This window comes from Homo sapiens, chromosome 3 (assembly GCF_000001405.40).
Source record: "Homo sapiens chromosome 3, GRCh38.p14 Primary Assembly".
NCBI classification, from domain to species: domain Eukaryota; kingdom Metazoa; phylum Chordata; class Mammalia; order Primates; family Hominidae; genus Homo; species Homo sapiens.
In genome coordinates this window covers 19,879,057-19,904,531 of record NC_000003.12, presented here as the reverse complement: position 1 = coordinate 19,904,531, position 25,475 = coordinate 19,879,057, and the positions used below count along the sequence as shown (strand labels likewise).

At 39.5% G+C, this 25,475-nt stretch overlaps 1 protein-coding gene across 7 annotated transcripts in view, besides 2 other annotated features; it reads left to right on the top strand.

Annotated features, from left to right (window-relative positions):
- Window positions 1-25,060, top strand: part of EFHB (EF-hand domain family member B) — a 67,512-nt gene extending 42,452 nt beyond the window's left edge. For 4 of the 7 annotated variants that reach the window (NM_001330688.2, XM_011533385.3, XM_011533382.3 and 1 more), the window contains 7 exons: window positions 5,017-5,100; window positions 5,687-5,754; window positions 7,691-7,845; window positions 15,881-16,088; window positions 19,917-20,129; window positions 21,801-21,982; window positions 24,728-25,060. In NM_001330688.2, the coding sequence (NP_001317617.1) occupies window positions 5,017-5,100; window positions 5,687-5,754; window positions 7,691-7,845; window positions 15,881-16,088; window positions 19,917-20,129; window positions 21,801-21,982; window positions 24,728-24,901 (1,084 nt within the window). In that variant the 3' untranslated portion in view covers window positions 24,902-25,060. Of the gene's footprint in view, window positions 1-608; window positions 896-5,016; window positions 5,101-5,686; window positions 5,755-7,690; window positions 7,846-15,880; window positions 16,089-19,916; window positions 20,130-20,601; window positions 20,787-21,800; window positions 21,983-24,727 lie in introns of those variants that run through there. The other 3 variants (XR_940383.3, XM_005264889.3, XM_017005742.3) reach the window with 3 other exon arrangements.
- Window positions 1,175-1,344: an enhancer, noted in NCBI's record as "experimental_67675 CRE fragment used in MPRA reporter constructs". NCBI's record gives its function as "activates a minimal promoter by MPRAs in K562 erythroleukemia cells, with activity observed for both the introgressed and non-introgressed 3:19944765 variant alleles {active_cell/tissue: K562}" and the evidence as "EXISTENCE:reporter gene assay evidence [ECO:0000049][PMID:34662402]".
- Window positions 17,305-17,474: an enhancer, noted in NCBI's record as "experimental_67669 CRE fragment used in MPRA reporter constructs". NCBI's record gives its function as "activates a minimal promoter by MPRAs in K562 erythroleukemia cells, with activity observed for both the introgressed and non-introgressed 3:19928635 variant alleles {active_cell/tissue: K562}" and the evidence as "EXISTENCE:reporter gene assay evidence [ECO:0000049][PMID:34662402]".
- Window positions 25,061-25,475: the final 415 nt, after the last annotated feature.

The following is a 25,475-nucleotide window of genomic DNA, read 5'->3' as shown; positions in this document are numbered from 1 at the left end:
CATCAGACTTTGGAAGAAGGAAAGAATGGGCTGGGTGTGGTGGCATATGCCTGTAGTCCCAGTGCTTTGGGAGGCTGAGGTGGGAGAATGGCTTGAGCCCAGGAGCTTGAGGCCAGCCTGGGCAACATAGCAAGACACCATCTCTAGGGAAAACAACAAAAAAAGCAAGAAATGAATTCTCCCCTAGAGCTGTTAGAGGAAATGTGGCCTTACTGACACTTTGATTTCAGACTTCTGGCTTCTAGGACTGTGAGAGAATACATTTTTTTACGCCATCAGTTTTTGGTAATTTCTTATAGCAACCACATGAAACTAATGCATGGGCCTCGCATTCATATTTGTCAATGATAGGGGTAGATTTGTTCTGACCTCTGCCCTCTTTAAAGGAGACAATGGCCCTCTAGGTTTCCGTAGGCCCAACATGCACACAAACTTAGCATTACTGCAGGTATCCAACCTGCCTCACTCTTGCCTATTTTGTCTCTGTGACAATAACAGCTCTCAGTTATAGAGGCAAAATTCTGAGCACTTTATATATTATTAGTTTAATTCTACTAAGAACTCCACAGGATAGGTGTATTATAACTTTTATTCTTCCCATTTTACAGGTGAAAAAGCTGAGGTACAGAGGGGTTAAATCATTTGCCTAAGATCATGCAGCTCAGACGTATCAGGGGTAAGAATGAAACCCAGGCAGTATTGGCTCTAGAGGCAGCCCTAACCACTGCACCAGATCTATAGGCACTTTATTCTTGATCACCTCTTTATGGGCTTCAAAAATGATTTCCATTCCTCTTTCACTCCTTTATTACATGAGTTTCTGATACTCGAATTATTCAAAATAAGGATGGTAAAACACACACATAAAATAAATTTTTACAGTATCATAGTAACCCTGTATGAGATAGTTTTTATTTAGGATATGGATGAAGCATTTACATAATAAATATTTCTTAATTATTATTATTAAAATGGTTAAACTATGTGTAAAGTATGAAGATATTATTTAAATATTTAAGGACTACAGATATTTATAATTAAATATAATAAATAAATTGATACTTAAAAGGAGACAAATATGGTTTATCCATTTTCAATGGGTTAGAAATATAAACTTGCTATCAGTTTGTAAAACATATGAGGTAAACACATTAACAACAATGTGGTCCTCAAGAACATCCTAAGAGCAGAGCAAATATCAATGATTTAGTGTTGCCATAGAAAAAGACACAAAGTTTATAAGGGCAAACAGTGTGCAGTGCATGCTTCCCTCCAACTTGTCTCTACTCCCAAGAGGACACTGTTTATGGAACAGTGTTTTATTTGATCATACATTTTGTATTTTTTTTTTTTTTGAGATGGAGTCTCCCTCTGTCACCCAGACTAGATTGCAGTGGCATGATCTCGGCTCACTGCAACCTTTGCCTTCTGGGTTCAAGCAATTCTCGTGCCTCAGCCTCCCGAGTAGCAGGAATTACAGGTGTGTGCCACCATGCCTGGCTAATTTTTGTATTTTTAGTAGAGATGGGGTTTCACCATGATCGTCAGGCTGGTCTTGAACTCATGACCTCAGGTGATCCGCCCGCCTCAGCCTCCCAAAGTGCTGGGATTACAGGCGTGAGCCACTGTGCCCAGCCCTTTTTGTATTTTGAAACTTAATTGGAATGTTATTGCTAGCAGTAGAGAAATTCTTTATTCTTTTGGTTGCAGTTTAAAAAGAGCTCACTACTTCATTCAGTTTGATTTCTGTTACAAACGTGGAGTCAAGAGTGTTAGTCTACATTTTGAGGCATCTAATTTTATATGCACGATTTAATGTAAATTTGGTTTACTCTCAACTTTTATGGGATATATTTCCCCTGTAAAAGAGGATCTCTATTGGCTGGGCATGGTGGCTCATGCCTGTAATCCCAGCACTTTGGGAGGCTGAGGCAGGCAGATCACAAGGTCAGGAGTTCGAGACCAGCCTGGCCACATAGTGAAGCCCTGTCTCTACTAAAAATACAAAAATTAGCTGAGTGTGGTGGCACGCACCTGTAGTCCCAGCTACTTGGGAGGCTGAGGCAGGAGAATCGCTTGAACCCGGGAGGTGGAGGTTTAAGTGAGCTGAGATGGCGCCATTGCACTCCAGCCTGGGTGACAGAGCAAGACTCTGTCTCAAAAAACAAAAACAAAAACAAACAAACAAACAAAAACGATCTCTATCTATATTTTGCCTGTGACCTTTGGTTTGAATAATCAAACCAAAGTCAAATCAAACTTTGGTTTGAGTCATCAGATGTAGGCATGCCTGTGCGAGTGCATGTGTTTGTGCGCATGTGTGAACGAATGAATTCACTGGCACACAAAGAGCTTTATCTGAGTTGGTTCGTGAATGCAACTCAAGATTGTTGTGTAATGATGTTGCAGTTATTGATATTCTGACATACATGGTTGCCCACAGATACTTCCTGATTGTTGCAGAAGCATACTCCAGGCAGTTCTTGACTAAAAAGAGTTGGCTCTGTGCCTGACAGTTCTTTTTCTTATCATCTCTGCATGTTCCTAATTATGTACCTTGGAGCTGATTTTTTTTTTTTTTTGAGACAGAGTTTCACTCTGTTGCCCAGGCTGGAGTGCAGTGGTGTGATCTTGGCTCACTGCAACCTCTGCCTCCTGGGTTCAAGCGATTCTCCTGCCTCAGCCTCCCAAGTAGCTGGGATTACAGGTGCCCATCACCAGGCCTGGCTAATTTTTGTATTTTTAGTAGAGATGGGGTTTTGCCATGTGGGCCAGGCTGATCTCGAACTCCTGACCTCAGGGTGATCCACCTGCTTCGACCTCCCAAAGTGCTGGGATTACAGGTGTGAGCCGCTGCGCCTGGCCTGGAGCTGATTTTTAGATTGTTAACTCTGTTTGTTCAAGTTATAGCCCTAAACTGCATTGATTTATTCTGACTCCACCTACATTCTTCCCCCCCGCCAACAAATGGGAAGGAAATGAAGAAACGAGATGAATTACTTATGTTTCTTCTTTTGTTCCTCCACAGAGTGTCACTCTTCTCCAGAAATTTATTCAGCTCAGTAGTTCAATAGTACAGGAGATACTTTGAAAAGCAAATGGAGTTTTAAGAATGTAATGTTCATTGTCTTTAGTCTTAGCAAAACAATAGAGAATTTATTAATTTTAATGTTATTAAATAGTAGTGTTGTAATTTTACACGTTTCAAAAGAAATTTTATTCATTTAATCACAACAGTAGAAGTAACAAAATTATTTTACAGAAAACTGGCAAAATAAAATCGCTCATAATCCTGTTCACTTTAATTCAGCCATTATTATCATTTTAATGTATTTTTTCCTAGTGTGGCTCCCTATGTAGATTTTTGCATAGTTTTTACCAGAGTGCAATCCCATTTTATATCCTGTTTTCCACCTAACATAAAATAATTATATATTGCTGTATATGCCAGCATTGAAAATGCATGCAGTGTATTCTTATTGATGTGACAGAATTTAATTACCCTCCACAACTGAACATTTTGATTCTTTTCTTTATTCCACTGTCATCAATGAGGCTACAAACATTTTTTATACATATAACTTTTCTACATTTTTTTTTTTTTTGAGACAGGCTCACTTTGTTGCCCAGGCTGGGGTGCCGTGGCATGATCTTGGCTTACTGCAGCCTCTGACTCCCAGGTTCAAGTGACTGTCCTGCCTCAGCCTCCCAAGTACCTGGGATTACAGGCGTGTTCCACCACACCTGGCTAATTTTTGTAGTTTTAGTAGAGATGGGGTTTCACCATGTTGGTCAGGCTGGTCTTGAACTCCTGACCTCAAGTGATCTGCCCACTTTAGCCTCCCAAAGTGGTGGGATTACAGGTATGAGCCACCGTGCCCAGGCTCTTTTCTACATTTTTAATTGCTATCTGGATTATATCATTATTATTGGTTCCCAGATGTGGATAAAAGGGCATGAGTGTTTTTATGCTTTTTGATTCATATTGCCCAATTATTTTCAAAAGAACTGTAGGAATTTGCACTAGCAATCTGTAAGTGTTTTACCATATTTTTTTGCCAAAGTTAGATATTCTTTCTCTCTCCATATGCTTATATATATTTGCTTGTTTACTAGGTTAGAAGTGGCACTTTGTTATTCTTTTATTTTACATTTATTTTATTACTAGAGAGTATTATAAATTCTCCATGTATTTGCTTACTAGATGTGAGTTATTTGTTTATATCCTTTGGCTATTTATTTATTTGATGCTAAATTTTTTTATTTTTATTTTCATTTTTTGTAGAGATGGGATCTCACTATGTTACCCAGGCTCGTCTCAAATTCCTAGCCTCGATTGATCCTCCAGCTTTAGCTTCCTAAAGTATTGAGATTACAGGCATGAACCACTGTGCCTGGCCTGATGCTTAATTTTCTTCTAGCAATTTTACGAGTTACACTTACTTTATTTTATTTTTTTGAGACAGGGTCTCACTCTGTCACCCAGGCTGGAGTACAGTGACGTCATCTCAGCTCACTGCAACCTCAGCCTCCCAGTCTCAAGCGATCTTCCTAGCTCAGCCTCTCGAGTAGCTGGGACTACAGGTACATGCCACCACGCCCAGCTAGTTTTTGTATTTTTTTAAGAGACAGGGTTTTGCCATGTTGCCCAGGCTAGTCTCAAACTCCTGAGCTCAAGCCATCTGCCCACCTCAGCCTCCCAAAGTGTTGGGATTACAGCAGTGAGCCACTGTGCCCGGCCAGGAGCTACACTTACAATAGTGATATTAACACCTTGTTTTATTTATTAAAAATATTGTTTGCTTACCTTATTCATTAATCAAGGTTTATTTTATTTTAGTGTAAATGAAAGAAAAATGAACACATAAAACTTTCTTTTTAGCAGAGAGTTTCTTTTGAAACTACATTTGTTCCTGGAAGGCCTAATGATACTATGGTATTCTTCGCCTTATGTATATTTGGCAGCCAAGAATACTTTAGGTAATAGAGATACCTGATAATGTTCTAATTTTGCAGGAAAAGAGGAGCTAAGTTTGTATCCAAAAGAGCAGATGATTTCAAAGAAAAGTTTCAACATAAACTTGGAAGAGTTTTAGATCCGTAAGTTAATGATTAACTTCAAATTGATAGTTTCTTTGCATAGAATTTAAAAAATACTCTTGTGGTAACTGTTGGTGTGCCTATTAGATTCTATCTATTAAATAAGAAAATCATTATTTTATTGTTAATCAGTTAATCTGTTAATATCTATAGAATTTGGGATTCCAGGAAAGCAGTGAGTTCTCCAAAATGCAGAAGGCACTGGAGAAGAGAGAGGGATAATTTTGCATAAAGCATTATTTCTGGGATATCAGAGATTTAACTTACTGTGTTTATATTTTTCTTTGTCTTTCCTGTCTGTCTGTCTTGCTCTCTATTTATACTTTGGTAATTTTGCTTTGAATGTGTTCTGTGTGTTCTGCTTTTCTTTGTAATTCTGGGCTCCTGAAAGAGGGTGAAAACATTCAGTCATTGTTAATGCAAGTGGAAGATCAGACAAAAGATCTATTGGAGAACTTTTGTTTGATCTTCATAGTTTGGTTATGAGATAAAATATGGGCTACTAAGAACATATGGCAAACATATTTTAAATTCCAGAGATGCCATGTGGTGGGTATTTTAACTAAGGATTTGTTTTCTTTGATAGCATTGCAGAAACAATGAATGTTCCCCCAGACTGCACATTTGGAGCTTGTCTCCGTCCTGAGGAATATGGTAAATATACACACTTTCTCCGTAAAAAACCCCAAACAAACAGCAACAAAATCCCCACAAAGTTATGCAGTTAAGCTCACCATCTCCTTATTTCAAAGCTTCTAATTTTAAAGACTTAAAATGTTGCATTAACATTAATGAGAAAAGTGTATAACACAGAAGTAAATTTTTTTTCATATTATGTTTGAAATAGGTACAGTTGGAAGCCCTTGTAATAAGTACTGTAAGTGTAGTTAAGGCTTTGAATTTTATTTAGGAAAAATAAATATGGCCTATATTAAACAAGCCAAAGTGAAGTGGGGCAGCTTTTTAATTAATTTGGATATTGTCCTAGTCCTAACGTCTCAAAGTGTGGTCTGCAGACTGCCAGTATTGGCATCCCCTGGGAGCTCCTTAGAAATGCAGAATCTCAGGCCCCATCCCAGAACTATTGAATCAGAAACTGCATTTTAACTATATTTCCAGGTGAATTTTAAGCACATTCAAATATGAGAAAGCACTGTACTCTACAACCACATAATTAAGAACCACTCTTTTCCTACCAGCCAGCCAGCTAGCCAGTAAGTTGATCAATCAATCAATACATAAAGTAGCAGAAGAAACTTACTTGGATTTTGTCTTTATTTCTAGCCAATCTAAACAGCAGATATCCAAAGGGAAAAATATGCTACAGCTTATCAGGATTGGGCTGTATATCAGTGGTTTTCAAAACATGGGCTGCAGACTACCTGCATTAAAATCATCCAGGGAGTTTATTAAATCTGCACCTTCCTGGGACCCATGCCCTAGATATTCTGATTCAGTAGGTTCTTATATACACTAACGTTTAAGAACCACTATGAAAAATGTTTTGGCTAAAGTCAACTCATTGACAGGTAGAATAAATATTTATTGAGCTTATGCAAGACAGTGGTTTGGAGCATCATTAATTACTACATTAGGAAATTGTATTTGGGTTCTGTTTTTACACAAACTACTAATGTTTGATGGATGCCTATCCATCTTAGAGGCTTTAATATCTTTTGAAGAGGGTAAGGGATGATTAGGAAACCATCAATTAGCTTGAAAAAGAAGTAGGTAATCATGGTAAATTCTGCCTGTTTGAGGGCAAGCTTCATGCTGGTGGGTGCTCTGTCTTGCTGTCTGTTGGATCCTCAGGGTCCAGCACATAGGACATCTTTCATCAATATTTATAGCATGAATTGATGAATTAAAAAAGGAAGAGAAAGCTGAGAGTCCTGGCAGAAAGATGGGAGATGTGTGTACGCCAGGGAAAATGAAGAGAGGCAGGAGGTCTCCTCTGGCGATATCCACCGAGCCGCCACATCTGGAGCAGCATGGTCAACTCTAGTTGGGGTGTGGGTCAGGACTCTTAGTTAATGGAGCCGTGAAGGGAGGCAGGCCTCTAGTGCTGGTGGTGGCATGAGTGGAAGCAAGGCTGAGAAATGGGAAGTTGGTATGCAGACTGACGGCCAACTGGAAACTCACATAGGAGAGGGTAGATAATTTAATTTTTACAAGGCTCTCCCAGTTTAGTCAGTTCCAAGGCACACTGAGTGGTCCCCACCTGGAATCAGCCCTAGCTTTCAGATCCTCAGCACTGTAGACAAATGGCCAAGAGGTAGTCAAGCAAGAACTTCACTGTCCAGGGAAAAGACTTGACAGTTGAGTGCGGTTGGTGATGTCCACACAAAATTCATTCTTTTAGATTTTCTTCTTGAGCAGAGAGGTAACATAAACCAGGAATATTAATTTTTATCAATTAATTTATGTACTTTAGAGTACATAAGGATTTTCTGACATGCTGCATAATCATGTCAGAGTTAGATGTTTCTTTCATTCACAGAGGTTGCTAGATCTCTCACTTTTTTTAAAAGATAGAAATAATATAGAAAGACTTTAAATTTATGTAAAAAGTTTTTTCTCTCTTCAATAGGAGTTGGTGATCTCATCCATAATAGACTTCCGGATGAATATCTTCGAGGCAAGGATAGACAGCGAGCCCTGATTGCAGCAGTTCGGCATCACCTGAAGAAAGTTAATTACCAAAAGTTTGACACTTTGCTGGCAGCCTTCAGGCACTATGACAAGGCCAGTAATGGGGGAGAGCTTTTTGGTAATGCATGGGCTTACAGATCCCAGCAGTTTGGTGTAGATCAGGGGTCAGCAAACTATAGCCTGTGGGCCAAATCCAGCCCACTGTTTGTTTGTGTCAGTAAAGTTTTACTGGAACACAATCACGCCTGTGTTGTTTTCAGTATTGTCTGTGGCTGCTTTTGCAGTATGAATACAGAGTTAGGTAGTAGCAACAAAAACTGTATGGCCTTCAAAACCTAAAATATTTACTATTTGCCCCTTAACAGAAGACATTTGCTGACCCCTTTTGTAGATTATTGGTTGTCAAAGTGTGGTTCCACTACCACCATCACTATCACTTGGGAACTTGTTAGAAATGCACATTACAAGGCCCATTTCAGAAAATACTGAGTCAGGAACTCTGGGGTGGGACCCAGCAATTTTTGCAAGTGCTCTAGTGATTCTGATGCACATTCAAGTTTGAGAACCACTGTTATGGATTATTAAACTGCAGTGTGCTGGGAGCAAGGGGCAATGGGTAGCACTGGGGATCCCTGGGGAAGACTTGACAATCTACACCTAAATCTGAATATGTACACAGAGTACCTGCATTCTAGGTCCAAGTCAAGCTTAGAATGTCTTTTCCCTGGGGAGCAGGGTGTGGTTTTAGTTTTGAGAGTGTAAGATCATTCAATGTTCAAGCTACTCTAAATTTTATTCTTTGAATAAAATCAGATCAATCTAGGGCTACATAATTGCCTTGCTTCATTTTAGGCCATCACAGAATTGCTTTTACCGAGCTGCACTGCCTTTAGCTTATGCTGAGGAGCACTATAAGAAACTGCCATTGAAACGTGGCATATTTTTTGTTAGTATGCCCATGAGGCTTTTATTTTTGTCAGATGCATCTTCCTTATAAGAAACTCAGTCTTGACAAAGGAAATAATTGCACTTCATCTAAGTATCTGATGACTGGTTTTTATCTCATGGATAGCATGTATTTTGTATTGATTATGCACACCTTTTTACTTTGGTTACCAGGAAGCTTGGAGCCAACTCAATAAATAATGGTAGTGACATGAATAAGAGAACCTGCCATAATACGTAGTGCCCTGCTTTTAAGAATTCTTCATTTTAAATGTAATTAAAGGAAAGATGATCATCTTAATAGCTGTTGATTATCTAAGTAAACCACCAGGCATATTCCTTTTTTTTTTTTTTGAGACCGAGTCTCGCTCTGTCGCCCAGGCTGGAGTGCAGTGGCGCCATCTCGGCTCACTGCAAGCTCCGCCTCCCGGGTTCACGCCATTCTCCTGCCTCAGCCTCCCGAGTAGTGGGACTACAGGTGCCCGCCACCAGGCCCGACTAATTTTTTTGTACTTTTAGTACAGACGGGGTTTCACCGTGTTAGCCAGGATGGTCTCGATCTCCTGACCTCGTGACCCACCCGCCTCGGCCTCCCAAAGTGCTGGGATTACGGGCTTGAGCCACCGCGCCTGGCCCAAGCATATTCCTTATGATAAATTAAGCAGGGAGGAAATTACTGAGAATTATTTAATGCTGATATGCCTTACATATACATATATGCTTATATATAAATATATGTTGATATATAAATATAAATTATGTATATATTTATATATTATTTATAATATATAGATATAAACATTTATATATAAAAACTATATATTTTTATATATACATATATATATTTTTTGAGACAAAGTCTTGCTCTTGTCCCCCAGGCTGGAGTGCAATGGCGTGATCTTGGCTCACTGCAACCTCCGCCTCCTAGGTTCAAGCGATTCTCCTGCCTCAGCCTCCCAAGTAGCTGGGATTACAGGCACCTGCCACCACACCCTAATTTTCGTATTTTTAGTAGAGACGGGGTTTCACCATGTTGGCCAGGCTGGTCTTGAACTCCTGACCTCAGGTCATCCACCTGCCTCGGCCTCCCAGTGTTGGGATTACAGGTATGAACCACCGCGCCTGGCCTTGATATACCTTTTAATAGTTAACTCAATATGCACAATGTAGCATTCAGTCACCGTAAGGAGCTTTTTTTCTGAGAGGGTAATAAGATGTGGGTCTAGTACAGCTGTAGGTTAATTTTTGATTATTTAAATCTTATATTATTGGATGCCACATTTAATTTAATGGAAAAACAAAACACAAACACAACAGAGCAAATAAACTATGATTTTCTAAATGAATCTTCTTGGCTTATGAAATTAATTCTGCTATTTATTGAGTAATCATAATACATCAAGCATTATTCCAGATAATGTGTAGACATTCCATTTAGGGAATGGAAAATCTAGAGGGAGAGTTACACATTGGGTAGCAGTAGTGTGCTAGAGTTGGCTTGAGAGAGCATACTGTTAAATTTGCAGCAAGCTTACAAGCCAGTTGACATCACAATGGTAGCTAGAAATTACCATGATGAGAGTATGAACACCATGGAAAGCAGCACCTGCTACAAATCAGGGCTTTTTTCCACCACACTGCCAAAAAGTCAGTTGTTGAACATATGTAACACAACACTGAAGTAGAGTGAGGCCCAAGTACTATGATAAACTCAGAGTTGCAATCAGGGATTTTTGCTCCTAGCTATCATAGACTATGTAATTCATGACAGATGTTCTTAGCAATGCAAGTCAGCTGATGATTTTCTCTTTTAATTAATTGTCTAATTAAGGATGTATAGATTTGTGCTCACTTAAACAGCACATTTGTTGTCAATATGTAAACATTGTTAACTTAAAACTAGAATAGTTTCCTAAAATAAATTTTGCTGCTAGGCTATAGGATTCTCAGTTAGGTTCAATAATTGTGTATAGTCCTTGTTTTTGGAGGGGCTGCATAAGGTCAGTAAGTCCAACCTCCTGTCTGTCCATGCCACCAGCTGATGGTATTTGCTCACCTTGTGGAATGACTGCAAATGGGGCTGGGGAAGATACCCAAAGGTGTTCAATGTGGAGGTGCAGTAACTAGGGTCATTCTCTGCTGTTTCCAATAGATTTCTTGGTAAAGTTGAGGTGGATGTCATTCAAATTGTGGTCAGAACTGCCTGGCAGTCAGTTAAAACTAAGGTGTCACCAACAGTTTGAGAGAACTGCACTAAGGCATTTTTCTTTATGATGCAGTCTTCAGGAGTGGGCTGAAAAACAAAATATCATGATGTCTGTCACTCCCCTGAACATCCTGGGTCTAAAGTGTTCTCTCTCCAAGAGCTCGGTTGCTGCGCTCCCCCTATTGCCACAAAATCAGGGTATCCCATTCCAGTAGCTATAACTTCACCTTTTTCCCATTTACCTCCTATTTTCACCTAGAACTTTTGTCTGGAAAGGTCAGGCATAAAAGAGAATAAAACAGATCTCTGGAACTTTTCTAAGAAATCCCTGGTCCCTCTTATATCTGACCTTTCCTAACAAAAGGTCTAGGCGAAAATAGAGAATATGGGCTGGGCATGGTGGCTCATGCCTGTAATCCGAACACTTTGGGAGGCCAATCACCTGAGGTCATGAGTTCGAGACCAGCCTGACCAACATGGCGAAACTCCATCTCTACTAAAAATACAAAAATTAGCCAGGTATGGTGGCACATGCCTGTAATCCTAGCTACTCGGGAAGCTGAGGCAGGAGATTGCTTGAACTTGGGAGGCAGAGGTTGCAGTGAGCTGAGATCACACCACTGCGCTCTAGCCTGGGCAACAAAGCGAGACTCCATCTAAAAAAAAAAAAAGAAAATAGAGAATATGATTGGGAAAAAGGTGAAGTTATAGCTACTGGGATGGAACATACTGATTTTATATTATTTTATTTTATTTTATTTTATTTTATTTTAGAGATGAGATTCTCACTCTGTTGCCCAGGTTGGAGTGCAGTGGCACCATCATAGCTCACTGCAGGCTTGAACTCTGAGCCTCAAGTGATCCTCCTGCCTCAGCCTCCCATGTTGCTGGGATTACAGATGTGAGCTACTGCTCCCAGCTCTCACACTGATTTTTGAGAAGTATACTCAACCAAGTGGTTATTATCCTTATGATCAAGGATTATGTAAACCCAACAAGAAAATCAGGAGGCTGAAATAGAATTAAATTTGAACCTCCTAGAATCCTTTTTATGCCTGGTTGCTACCAAAAGGGCGGACCAACCCTACTGGCCCGGGATTGCTGTTGCATGGTGCTGTTGCACCATGTCCAGGAATGGTCATGGAAGTAACACCAATTTTCAAAATAAGTCTTTATAACCCCTGCCCCTTTTATTCTGATTATTATTCAGGAAGCAGCTGAGATAGAATGAGTCCTTTCTGGGGACAGCTGCATTGAGTGACCAAACAGCTTTACTAAGATGTGGGCACCAGGAGCTGGTGAGAGAAGTAGACAGTTTTTGAGAAGGCCATTCCAATGCACAATAATACCATATGACAATGGACGGTAGGGAGTAAGAAAGCTTCATTGAATACCTTGACTAATAGCTCATTGCTGAATAGCTTTTGTGCTATAGGGTGCACCCCATTGACAGACTGAAAATGTTCCAGAAAGCAAAACGCACAACCCAGATTAACTTAACTTTATGGGCCCTACTGTTGGGACTAGACCCATATGATTGGACTGGAATGGCAATTCCATAACTTGAATAAGTGTCAATATTGGTGTGGCACCACCAATAGCTCTGAGGAGGGAGGGGTCAGAGGTTCACTGTAGTCAGTCTGTCAGGAGCATGAGGGAGATCCCTATGTGTGATGTGTCCTCTCTCACCGTAAGACAAATGAGTCAACTTCTGGCAGTCACAAGTTTGGCATGTAGTGGTGGCTTCTGCATTAGAAACATGGAGTTCTTTACCTTGTGCTCTGTGTGTAATGGGGGTGTGTTGCCATGTATGTACAGGCAGCAATGTTGGCAATCTGGATGGTTCAGGCTTGATCAGCAGCTTGATTCCAATCATTCCCATGCTTATGGTGAGTATCTACATGAACTACCCAGATAGTTCAATCAGTAGCCATAATTTTTGTCCTATAGTTTGCAGTCCCTTAAAGGGGTGTCTTTAATCTGCTATTTTATTGTTTTCCAAGTGGCCAACCAAATAGGTAGGCCACAGTCAACAGCCCAAGAGTCAGTAAAAATATAACAGGTTTATCAAGGGGAGTATTTGCCAGAGCCATGAGAATGGCCTTTAGTTTAGCTCAGTGAAGACCACCAGGTTTCAGCTCAGCCAGACTATAAGTGAAACAGGCCCAGGCATTTAGAGGAGGTTCTGTGAATTGAGGGTCCTCTTGAGCCAGTGGCTTTGCTTCAGGTGACAGAGTGGTGAATAATTTTTTTTTTCTAAAGGATCACTTCTCAGCTGAGTGTGGTGGCTCACACCTACAATTCTAGCATTTTGGGAGGCTGAGGCAGGAGGATAGTTTGAGGCTGGGAGTTTGAAACCAGCCTGGGTAACATAGTGAGACTCCATCTCTACAAGTAAACACAAATAGTTAGCCAGGAGTGGTAGTGCCAGCTACTCAGTAGGCTGAGGCAGGAGGATCACCTGAGCCCAGGAGTTTGAGGCTGCAGTGAACTATGATTGTGCCACTGCATTCCAGCCTGCACAACTGATTGATAGCCTGTCTCAGCAGCAGCAGCAATAACAACAACAAAAATATTGCTACTCTTTTACACGTAAAGCTGAGATGTTACTGGGGTTGGGCTGGCTGCATTCTTGAATATGCCATTTCCATTTGACATATGAGGCTTGTTTGCTCCTTTTTCATTTTGTTAGTCATTTAGTCCAAGTTGGCCGGCCTCAAAATGATTATTGGCTGGAGAGTCAGAAGGCCTCCATGGGTCCAGTGTTCAGTTTCCAGAAGAGCTCAGTGACAGGCTAATAGCTGCTTTTCAAAAGAGGTCTACCTGGTAATTATGTTAGGGAGGCAATAAGTCCTAAACTTCACGGTGCACCTCCAAGTGAAGGTTGCCTTTCTTTTCCAGAGGCTCTAATTGGCAAAACCACCAGTTATAGACTTGTAACTCAAAGGAGTCATTAGGGTTATGGGGTCCCAAAGGTAATAACAATTGTCTATACATGGCTCTTCTTGATCAGGATAATCCCCTCTGTCACATATGAACATTCACTCTACAGACATGGAAAGCATCAATACCAATTAAATATTCAGGCTTGGAAGCCGTAGCAATAATACATGGTTATCTTTAATTCTTCTCTGCAAACTGTGCCCAAACCCCATTAACTGAATTCGGACATCCTTCCCTACCATCCTCTCCCAGGACTGACTATGATGATGACTTTGGGAACTGTATCCAAACCATAAAAATGTGAGAATCTCACCCCACTGAACAGATGCATCCCTCTTGAAGACCTGGAGCCCTTGGTCCTACTTCTAATCATCTTTCTCCCTAAAGCGGATGAGATCAGGGCTTGGGGGAGGGAGGGATTAAGGGTGCAGAGGGAGAGAATGGCTTTGCACTAGTAAGTAAGAAATATTTACTTTGATTTTGAGTGGCATGGTGGTGGCATGGTAGCTCCATGAAACAAACCACCAGTGTTTTCAGTGCACACAAAGCCCTGCATATTAGGCGGTAATTTATCGTTGACAGCATCTGTTTCAGTTTTGGGGCTCTCTTGATTCAACAGCCACATCCCGCATTGCTTTTCAGCTAGGATGAGTGTGGGTTTGCATTTTTGGTTGTAGTAGAGACTTTTGTTTGTTTTTGAGATGGAATTTCACTCTTGTTGCCCAGTCTGGAGTGCAATGGCGCAGTCTCGGCTCACTGCAACCTCGGCCTCCTGGATTCAAGCGATTCTCCTGCCTCAGCCTCCCGAGTAGCTGGGATTACAGGCATGTGCCACCACGCTGGCTAATTTTGTATTTTCAGTAGAGACGGGATTTCTCCGTGTTGGTCAGGCTCCCAAAGTGCTGGGATTACAGGCATGAGCCACCGTGCCTGGCCTGTAGTAGAGACTTTTATAAAGGAGTCTGCTTTAATCCAGGGCATTTGCAGCTGTATTGTCAAGATCATATATTTTAAGTTCTCATTCTGTTTGAATACAAGGGTTAAGTAGGGAAGTTTTCCAGGGCTGTGGGTCTGACTGCAAGAATTTATAATTCATCGAGTCAGTTTCTCGTTCTCCAGGGGATTGCCTCCATCAGCATTGTAAATCCAGTCCTGGGCAGTAAGAGCTTAAATACTACGCAGTGACTCATTTATGATTCCTCTTGGGAGTTATTTCCTCTCAGGGAAGTCTCTCTGAGGGGGCCAAAGCTCCCTTATAGCAGGAAGAATTCACTGCAGAAACAAACAAGAAAACTGGGACCTTTGCCATCATCTCTGAATGGATTTAAGGTTGGCTTGATAGACTGCAGGAGGGACTGAGTGCTAAGATGTCCCAGCTGTTGACATTCTTCCTTAACGAACATTGTGTGCTCTGCCCCTTCATCTCCCAAGTGAATCAGCCAGTTTCTGCTGAGAGCCCTTATACATTTCCCTCTGTTCATACTCAGTGTAGGTACTTCTGTCTTTAACTGCTGTCTGAAAGGAGGTGAGACTTTTTCCCTCCACCCTCCTCCCCCTACTTACCAGGATGAATCTTAGTGTTACTTGTTTCAATGGGGCTGACCATCAGATTGGTAGCATTTCCCTCTTGCCCATAGGAGTGTTATGAAAACCAGACCACTGTCTTTGAACCCACCTCCGTGAACTTGTCCTGCAACTATCTCCCCAATTTCTCCTTAATAACAGGCAATGAAATGAAGGGCCATTTATTGCCAGGTTAAAACACAGAAGGTATTAAAAACTTTGTAAGGATAAAAATTGTAGAGAGCTGTCAAAAGTACACACCTATTGGTCATATGAAATGTCAAGCCCATATCATGGTAATAATGCTCTACCACGGTCTAACCAGCGTATTTGACTCCTCTTCTGTGAAAATTGAGACAAATTTGAATTTATGTGATGAAGCTATTTCTTTTTTCTTAAACTAAATAATGTTGCCTACTCTGCTCTTGAAGACAACTCCCATTTTATGTTCTTTTGCTTCCTGTATAACAGAAGGGAGATGGGATGATAGATAAAGACGAGCTGCAGGAAGCTTGTGACCAGGCCAACTTGAGTTTAGATGACAAGCTCCTGGACCAGCTATTTGACTACTGTGATGTGGATAATGATGGCTTCATTAACTATCTGGAATTCGCAAATTTTCTTAACTGGAAAGACAAAATGCTTCTTAAAGAGTATGAAGAGAGGGTCATTATTAAAGGTATTTAATTTTTGAAGGTTTGATGAATTATTATTTTTTTAAATTTTAAAATTTATTATTATTATTTTTAATACAGACGAGGTCTCACTATGTTGCCCAGGCTGGTCCTACTTGCCCTTGAACTCCTGGGTTCAAGGGATTCTCTTGCTTTGGCCTCCCAAAGTGCTGGGATTATTGGTGTGAGCCAGCATGCTTAGCCATTTGCTGAATTCTTAAATGGACTTCTGTATTTTAATTTTTCTAAGAGCTCAGCTATATTCAACTTTAATATTATATGAAAAATAAAAATATACATTTATACATGGTTTTTATTTGCTTGTTTATGCATGGAATATCTGTAGTAGTGTAGGAAAGAATCAATAATATTTATTATTTCCAGGAAGAGGCAGTTGGATGGCTGAGGGACAGGGTGGCAATGAGATTCACTTTTTAATCTATATTTTTGTATCTTTTGAGTTTGGAACCATGTATTATTTATTCAAAAAAATTAAAAGCACAAAACTTACACTGAAGCTCAAAATATAAAAGACAGTTTCTCAGAAACCTGTTTAAAAACGATTATCTGAGTAGTTAATTCCCTTTCCCAGGAAACACACAATTTGACATAAAATTAGATTTTAAAAATTTTGTATAAAAAGGAAAAACAGCATAATCTTTACTTTTGATTCAAATGTTATAATGTTTACATCAAGCTTGTCCAACCCTTGGTTCAAGACAGCTTTGAATGCTGCCCAACACAAATTTGTAAACTTTCTTAAAACGCTATGAGATTTTTTTGCGACATTTTGTTTTTAAGCTCATCAGCTGTCCTTAGTGTTAGTGTACTTTATGTGTGGCCCAAGATAAGTCTTCTTCCAGTGAGGTCCAGGGAAGCCAAATGGTTGGATACCTCTGGCCTACATTTTATCTTTCTGTATCATTACATATATAGATATACATATATACATATGTGTATATGTATATATTTTAAGCATGTCTAAAATAACACTGAACATACTATATAAGGCTTTTTAAAATTTAACTTTCGCATTTCTCTTCTTCCTTTTTTTTTTTTTTTTTTTGATAGGGTCTTGCTCTGTTGCCCAGGCTGGAGTGCAGTGGTGTGATCTTGGCTCACTGCAATCTCTACCTGCCGGGTTCAAGTGATTCTCGTGCCTCAGCCTCCAGAGTAGCTGGGATTATGGCAGGTGTGTGCCACCATGCCTGGCTAATTTTTTGTATTTTTAGCAGAGACAGGGTTTCACCATGTTGCCCAGGCTGGTCTCGAACTCCTGGCCTCAAGTGATCCTCCTGTCTTGGCCTCCCAAAGTGCTAGGATGACCGACAAGAGCCAACATGCCCAGCCAGCTTTCATATTTCTAAGGAATGAAGAAATGCTTTTTTGGTTTCTATGAACTACATTTCAGTTCCCTCATGCTGATATATTATGATTTACTAAACCATTTCTTCACTCTATGAAATTTAGGCTGTTTCTAGATATTTTAAAAGTAATATGCACAATGCTATAATGATCATATCTCAAAAAGCTTTTTATTTCTCATTTCTTATGAATGTTATTATTGTCTCAGAAGTAACTCTATTTTCATTTTGCTTTTCTAAATGATTTTACTGATTTGCAATTTTATCAGCTAAGTCTGTGAGGTTTTACTCCAATCTCACTACCATTGAGTGTTATTTCAAACAAAAATTCTTACATTGTTGTACTTTAGTTGGTTTATAATAATACCTCATTTGCCTTGCTTTTTTTTTTTTTTTTTTTTTTTTTTTGAGACAGTGTCTCACTCTGTTTGCCCAGGCTGGAGTGCAGTGGTGCAATCATAGCTCATTGCAGCCTTGAACTCCTGGGCTCAAGTGATTCACCTGCCTCAGCCTCTTGAGTGGCTGTGTTGCCCAGGCTGGTTGTGAACTCCTGGCTTGAGGGATCCTCCCTCCTCAGACTCCCAATATGCTGGGATTACAGGCATGAGCCACTGCATCCAGCCTACCTTAATTTTTGTATCTTAATTATTAGAGGTTCAGCTTTTTAAAAAGATATTTACATTTTTATTTTCTCTCGGGATGTCTCTCTTCTAAAAAGTGGAGATACTACTATTTTCACTTTTATTCTTGGGTCATGCCTTTCTGTGAAGTCAAAACCAAATTTTGGTCTCTCTTGATGATGCGAGCCCTTATGGGTTAGCCTTTCTATTCTATCCACTAGGAAAGCATCAGAATCTTCCCTACCTAATGAAGCTTTTTATAGAAAACAGCTCTACTCCAACCCTTTCATAAACAGGGGTGACAGAGCTTCCTTCTTGGCACAACTCATGAAGTAGTGGTAGAAAGCAAAAGCTTATTTCAGACCAGATAATTCTTCAAATTGTTTCTGGTTTTTGGATGCTGATTTCTTCAGCCATTTTAAATGGAGTTTTTAAGGATTTTCATCTTCTATGATTTTAGGGTAGAAACTGTCAAGTTTGTAGTCAGTAGGTCTAGAGGGGGCCCAGGAATGTTCTGCCAAAATTTTTCTGATACCAAATTCTATCTTACTGTTGACTTTTGGAGAAAAGTGGGTAAGTAATCTTCCAATTTTTTGAGAAATTCTTTTTCAAACTTTGTCCAGATTTCTACTTTTGGTGAGGTGGAGGGTTAGAGGATCTGGAACAGTGGGCCTGAGAATTTTCAGAGCAGCAATTGGCAGGAACTGAGTGTGGGGAGAGGTGGGGTTGCGGGGAGGAATGCGTTCTTCAGAGACGTAAGTCTTTTCTAGTTTGCCACGGTATCCACCCTTCTCTAATACCAGCAGGTCACTTGCCTTTGCAACCCTTACTTGGGCTCCCCCAGAACCTTTAGAATTTTTCTAAAGATGGGAACACCACAGCGCTCTCTAGTGGTATATATGTAGTAACCAGATCTGAAAAAGATTGCAGGAATTTATTCCTAAATTTCAGAATTGGCTCAGCAAAGCAATCTGCAAAAGAGGACAGTCTTACAACTTCAGTTCTATCTCAGGGTTTTCTTTTGTACACTGACTTGTCAGGAGTTAGTTGTAGAAACAGTTCTTGAGCTCACAGTGAGTTCTTATCATCTCTCTTGATGTTGTAGTGCATGCTCCCCCCAGTCAAGTAGATGTGGAATTTTCCACTACAAGCATGTCTTGTCTTATTTCTCCCTAGTGCATAGTGCTAGGAAAAACTCTGTAGTTCAAGTTAAATATTAAAATACGCTTTTTTTTTTTTTTTGAGACGAAGTCTCACTGTTTTCCTCCAGGCTGGAGTGCAATGGCGCGATCTCGGCTCACTGCAACCATTGCCTCCCTGATTCAAGTGATTCTCCTGTCTCAGCCTCCTGAGTAGCTGGGGTTACAGGCGCCTGCCACCATGCCTGACTAACTTTTATATTTTTAATAGAGACGGGGTTTCATCATGTTGGCCAGGCTGGTCTCGAACTCCTGACCTCAGGTGATCTGTCCACCTCAGCCTCCCAAAGTGCTGGGATTACAGGCGTGAGCCACCGTGCCTGGCCGCTCTATTTTTTTTTTTTTTTTTTAAGAAAAGAAATGAATGGATTCTGTGTTTACATTTGGTCTCTCATATTTCAAAGCTTTATTCTAGAATAAAGTGAGTGGAGTAGCAGAAGAAAACATTAGGCCATGTTCAGATTTCCTGGCATATGACATTGGCCTGAACTTACTCTTCCACAGTTGGGTGTTGGGTCAGTGGAGGGGTCATGCCAGCTGTTTCCATTAGCAAGAAGAGACTAGATGGGAAAACTTATCCTGTTACAGAGCAGCAAGCACTAAGTAGTAATGTATTCCTGCATTTTTTCTTTCATTTATTTTCCTTAAAGGTAGAAAACCAGATTGTGTAAACCCTACTGAGGCTAATGTTGAAGAACCTGAACAAACTCTCCTCATAAAGCCAGAAGATATTGTCTTAAAAGAAGCAGGAAGCACAGAAAAGACTCTCCGGACACTTCTGAGACCAAGTGATAAAGTTTCCAACTACTATAAGACAACTTCTTCTGAGATCAATGCAATTGTAGGAGCCATTCCTTCTACTTGTATGTCACTTATTTGTCAAGTTTTAAAAGCATCAACAAACTGTCCTCTGTCTGTCCTTGCATTGTCCCCTGCCTTTCTCCGTTAGATTAAGTTTCCCAAAGCTTTGTACCTTGCATTTAATTCATATTCTAACCACCTGGGGAGGAGAGGCCCACATATAAATGTTGATTGAACGGAATTGCCAATGATGACCAAAGTAAAATGATTCTTTATATATTAATGAAATGGAAACCATTATAGATCAGAACATTGAATGTTATACATTGTAGTAATTCAGACTCCACCAAGTATTAATATTAGACGATTTTAAAACCATATGATTCTTAGCTCCATACATATCTGCCTTCAAATATTTAAAGAGCTTTTACATAACATTTCTCTGCATATTCATTCCCCATGTGTTAGTTTGCTGGGGCTGCTGTATCAAAGTACCACAAACTGGTGTCTTAATAGAATTTTATTGTCTCACAGTTCTGGAGGCTTGACGTGCAAGGTGTCAGCAGGATTGGTTCCTCTGGTGGATTGTAAAGGAGAATCTGTCCATGCCTCTTCCCTAGTTTCTGATGATTTGCTGGCAGTCTTTGGCACCACTTGGCTTCTTCAGCATCACCCTGATCTCTGCCTTCATCTTCACGTGGTGTTCTCCCCATTTTCATGTCTGTGTCCAAATTTCTCCATTTTACAAGAACTCTAGCCATATTAGGTTAGGGGCCCACCATACTCCAGTATGACCTTATCTTAATTAATTATACCTGAAAAGACCTTATTTCCAAATAGGGTCACACTCTGAGTTAGTGGAGGTTAGGACTTCACCATCTAAATTTTGGGAGGAGACAATTCAACCTATAACATCCATATATCAATATGAAGCATGATGAATATTGGTGATATAGAAAAACTATTTTATGTTGATCAAGATCACATCCTTGGAATAAGGACATGATTGAGGATTTACATATTTTTCTCAACTGGATTTTTATAGACATGCTATACATTCTAGAGTAATGAAATCTTGTTACTCTCGTTAGACTGTGTTGTCCAATAGAAATAAAATTGAAGTCATCTATGTATTTACAAACTTTTTAGCATTAAAGAAAACCAGGCTGGGCATGGTGGCTCATGCCCATAATCCCAGAATCTTGGGAGGCCAAGGTGGGAGGATCAATTGAGGTGAGGAGTTCAAGACCAGCCTGGGCAACATAGTGAGACCCTGTCTCTGCAAAAAATACAAAAATTAGCTGGGCATGATGGCAAACGCCTGTAGTCTCAGCAACCTGGGAGGCTGAGGTGGGAGGATCACTTGAGTCCAGGAGTTCAAGGCTGCAGTGAGCTGTGATCATGCCACTGCATTCTAGCCTGGGTGACAGAGTGAGACCCTGTCTCAAAAAAGAAAAAGAAAAAGAAAAAAAAGTCATGTTAAAAAAAGAAACAGGTGAAATTAATTTTAATACGATATATATTCAAAATATTATCATTTCAATAACTAATCAATATAACAATTATTAAATATTTTCCTTTTTTTACTAAAATGTTTGAATTTTACATTTGGAATACACCAAAATTCTTCCTAGCTACATTTTAAGTGCTCAGTATGCACATGTGACTGGTGGCTACTGTGTTACACAGCTTTGTTTTAGAATGTCTGTTTTCTTCCCTCATCAATGACCTAGGTTACCCCATTTGTGGTGTTCCAACCATTCGATCTGACATTCCTGCTCCCCGAATTCGTCGCATCAGTGACAGAACTAATTATGGTGAAGAAGGTAGTGCATATTCACTACTATATCCTACCATTTTTGCCCGGAAAGGAGTGTTTGAAAGAGACTTCTTCAAGACCAGATCAAAAGAAGAGGTATAGCATATAAGCATACAAAAATGGAAATGTTTTCTCTATCAACAACTACTATTTTAGAATTTTAAAAACTTGAATTTTTATATTTACAAAAGTCTACAGGATCCCCAAGTATAGGATTCTTGATGAATAATCCTCAACTTGGTTGTGACATCTGGTACAATTCTTGAGGTAGAATTTATGCTGTGACAGAAAGAGCAAATTCATATTTTACATTCAATATGGTCCACGTAAAGAAGAAAAATATTTTTCTAAAACATTTAATACTATTCTAGTTGAGAAAAGGAACAGGATCAACCCCTTCCTTATGTAAGCATCCTGATGGCCTTGGGCCTCTAGAACTAAGAGTGGGCATGAGGATGGTCACTTTGCTACCCTTCTTGTCCACTGGTATCATATGTCTCAGATTATCTGTGACAAGCATTGATTTAAAATATTCTGTCTTGTTGCCACAACACAGGTAAGGTAATACATCTGTCTTATTTAATTATTTATTTATTTATTTATTTATTTATTTATTTATTTATTTATTTTTGACTCAGAAAACATGATGCCCACATCTGAGATGTTCCTCTTCCTAGATGAGTTATAAAGCTAGGGTTATAAAACCAGCTAGGTCTGAATAGCCACTGGGGTGCTGAGGGCCAGAGATTGATAGCAGTGCTCAGTTAGACTAGCCTGTCTACATCTGTGCTTATGGAAAGCAGGTATAATTCAGGGAGTACTTGCTTCTTCAGAACCTTCATAGCTGGAGCTAGAAATGATAAAGGAAAAGACATACGATGTCTTTTCGGACTTCAGATGAAGGGTTGATGGCTTGGAAATGTATTAAATACTAACCGAATTAATGGCAGATGCATCCCAGCAATTCTTTCACACGGACGCAGGACAGAGAGGAAGAAGAGACAGAGGCTGATGCTTTCTTACTGGCCCCAAAGGAGGAACTTGGTATCCTTCCTGTGGGTCAAAGAAGAAAACCTCCAGATTGTGTTTTCACTTTCCTCAATCACTCTGAAAGGCCTATGAAATAGAACTTTAGGGTTTCCAAAAGAAACAGAAATCTCCTGCTTGTTTCATAACCCCTAAAGGAAGTCATCCTTTTAACTAGGAAGTCATCTTTTATCCCACAATTCTAGACAAAAAGTAAGAAGTCAAAGACCTGCTTGGAATAATAATGTTGACTTGAGGATGGATAGATTTCAGTAGACATGTTAGGTAGTCAGCATACTACTGATAGAATGCCAAACCACTGGAGCAAAGCCTCCAAGGAGTGGGGAAGGAAGCAGGGGAGAAGGTCTGGGATGCTCAAGACTGACTCAAACCATTCCTGAGCTCACTCTGCAGGGGCCTTTTTAAACTACCAGTGGGTGGGGAAAATAGCAGCTATGCATAGGGGTATTGTGTTTTTGCTTTATAGCTGCAGTTGCTAGCAGCTCTGCTCTTCTGAATTTCAGAATTTGATTTGTATTTGAATAGTACTTAATTTGTATTTAATTACACTAATTTCCCACAAGGGTACATCATTTCTAGGGGATTTTTTAATTGTTGAGATTCTGTTTAATAGATGTATTCTGCAACTATTTTATTTCTTTGGCTATTCGCTTCTAACCTTTTCATTTCCCTTTTTGTTTTTTTTTTCTGAATGCTTCATAGTAAATGCTTCTTTTAAATTTAGTTTCATTTTAAAATTTTGTTTTCACATACTTTATTCCCACTACTCATTCTATTGTTTCTTCCCGCTACTAGTTCTTACTTTCCTTTCCTATATTTTTCTTAAGACATAAGAAGCATGTTTTTCCCCGCCTTCATCTGTTTTAATAATTATCACTGTAGAGAGATTATTTGTAACCAAAGGTTGCTGGTTTTCAGTGTGCTTGGCTTTTAGTGTCCTCTCTTAATCATGGGTACACTATCTGCCATTTGCACACATAGTTAAAGTTCCAACAGGCCAGTTAGATACATTTTATAAATGTTTGTATTTTAAAGAATACAAAACTTGGCCATGCCTAGAGGCTCATGCCTGTAATCCCAGCACTTTGGGAGGCCGAGATGGGTGGATCATTTGAGGTCAGGAGTTCAAGACCAGCCTGGCCAGCATGGTGAAACTTCATCTCTACTACAAATACAAAAAAATTGGCCAGGTGTGGTGGCACACACCTGTAATCCCAGCTACTCAGGAGGCTGAGGCAGAAGAATCGCTTGTACCCAGGAGGCAGAGGCTGCAGTGAGCCAAGATCACACCACTGCACTCCAGCCTGGGCAACAGAGTGAGACTCTGTCTCAAAAATAAATAAATAAATAAATAAATAAATAAATAAATGAAACTAATGTTCAAGTGGCTTAGGTGACATACACAAGACCAAAATGACAATAAATGACTGAAATGGAACTCAAACCTAGCAAGTCTTCTTTATTTTTTTCACTCTTTTTACTTAAATTTTGCTACCTCTCCTTAAAATAATGAGACATTTAAAGTTGAAAATAACTTTATATATTGGCTAGTGTATTTGAACACCCTCATATTATAATAACAAAATTATTCCTGAGCTGACAGTATTAGAATTTTGATATTTTCTCATTATGTATATATACAAGCACATGCACACACACAAATACATACACACACATACTTTTCACACATACTTTTTTGGAAAAATATCCATAGTCTTAGATGTTATAAAGATATTTTTCATTACAAGTTTTAAAACATATAAATCATGGTCTATTTTAAATGCCTTTTTCTAGATTGCAGAGATATTGTGTAACATTGGTGTCAAACTGTCTGATGAAGAATTTGAAAATGTATGGAATCTTGCATCAAAAAAGCATCACAGAGGAGAAGTTTGTGTTGAGAACATCAGAAATGTTCTAGATGAGCTACGGCATGCAGACCGGATCAAGTGTAAAACACTCATGTGATATTTTTGGACTTCATTCATTCAAGCAAAAGAATTATTAACTCTGTGTTTATCTAAAATGTTGAATCCATTCTGGTTTTAGATATTATGTTAGAGTTCACAGTGGTAAGACTCATATGCCTGTATGTGTTGCTAATAAATTAGATTTTGGATTTTAAAATTTATTGTTTTCCATAAAGCACCTAAGAGCTTGACAAGTGATTGAAGAGTTAACATTCAGCCTCAGCAAAGACAGTTCAGAATGATATTAGAAGTTTTGTAGGCCTAAGAATTCCATATATTTTAGTTGGCCGTCTGAATTCATAGTGTGATTTGTGATGCCAAGTTTAATTTTCTTTGTTGGTTAAGCCAATTTGAACTGCAATTTCTGTCACAGGTGATCAAAATGTAGTAACACACCAAGAGTAAGGAGATTCATGTTTATGTAGTGGACTAAAAGCTAGATCTTGTGCATGGAACTACAGGTGAATTTTTTTTTTTTTTGAGATGGAGTCTCACTCTGTCACCCAGACTGGAGTGCAGTGGCGCAGTGTTGGCTCACTGCAACCTCTGCCTCCTGGGTTGAAGCGATTCTC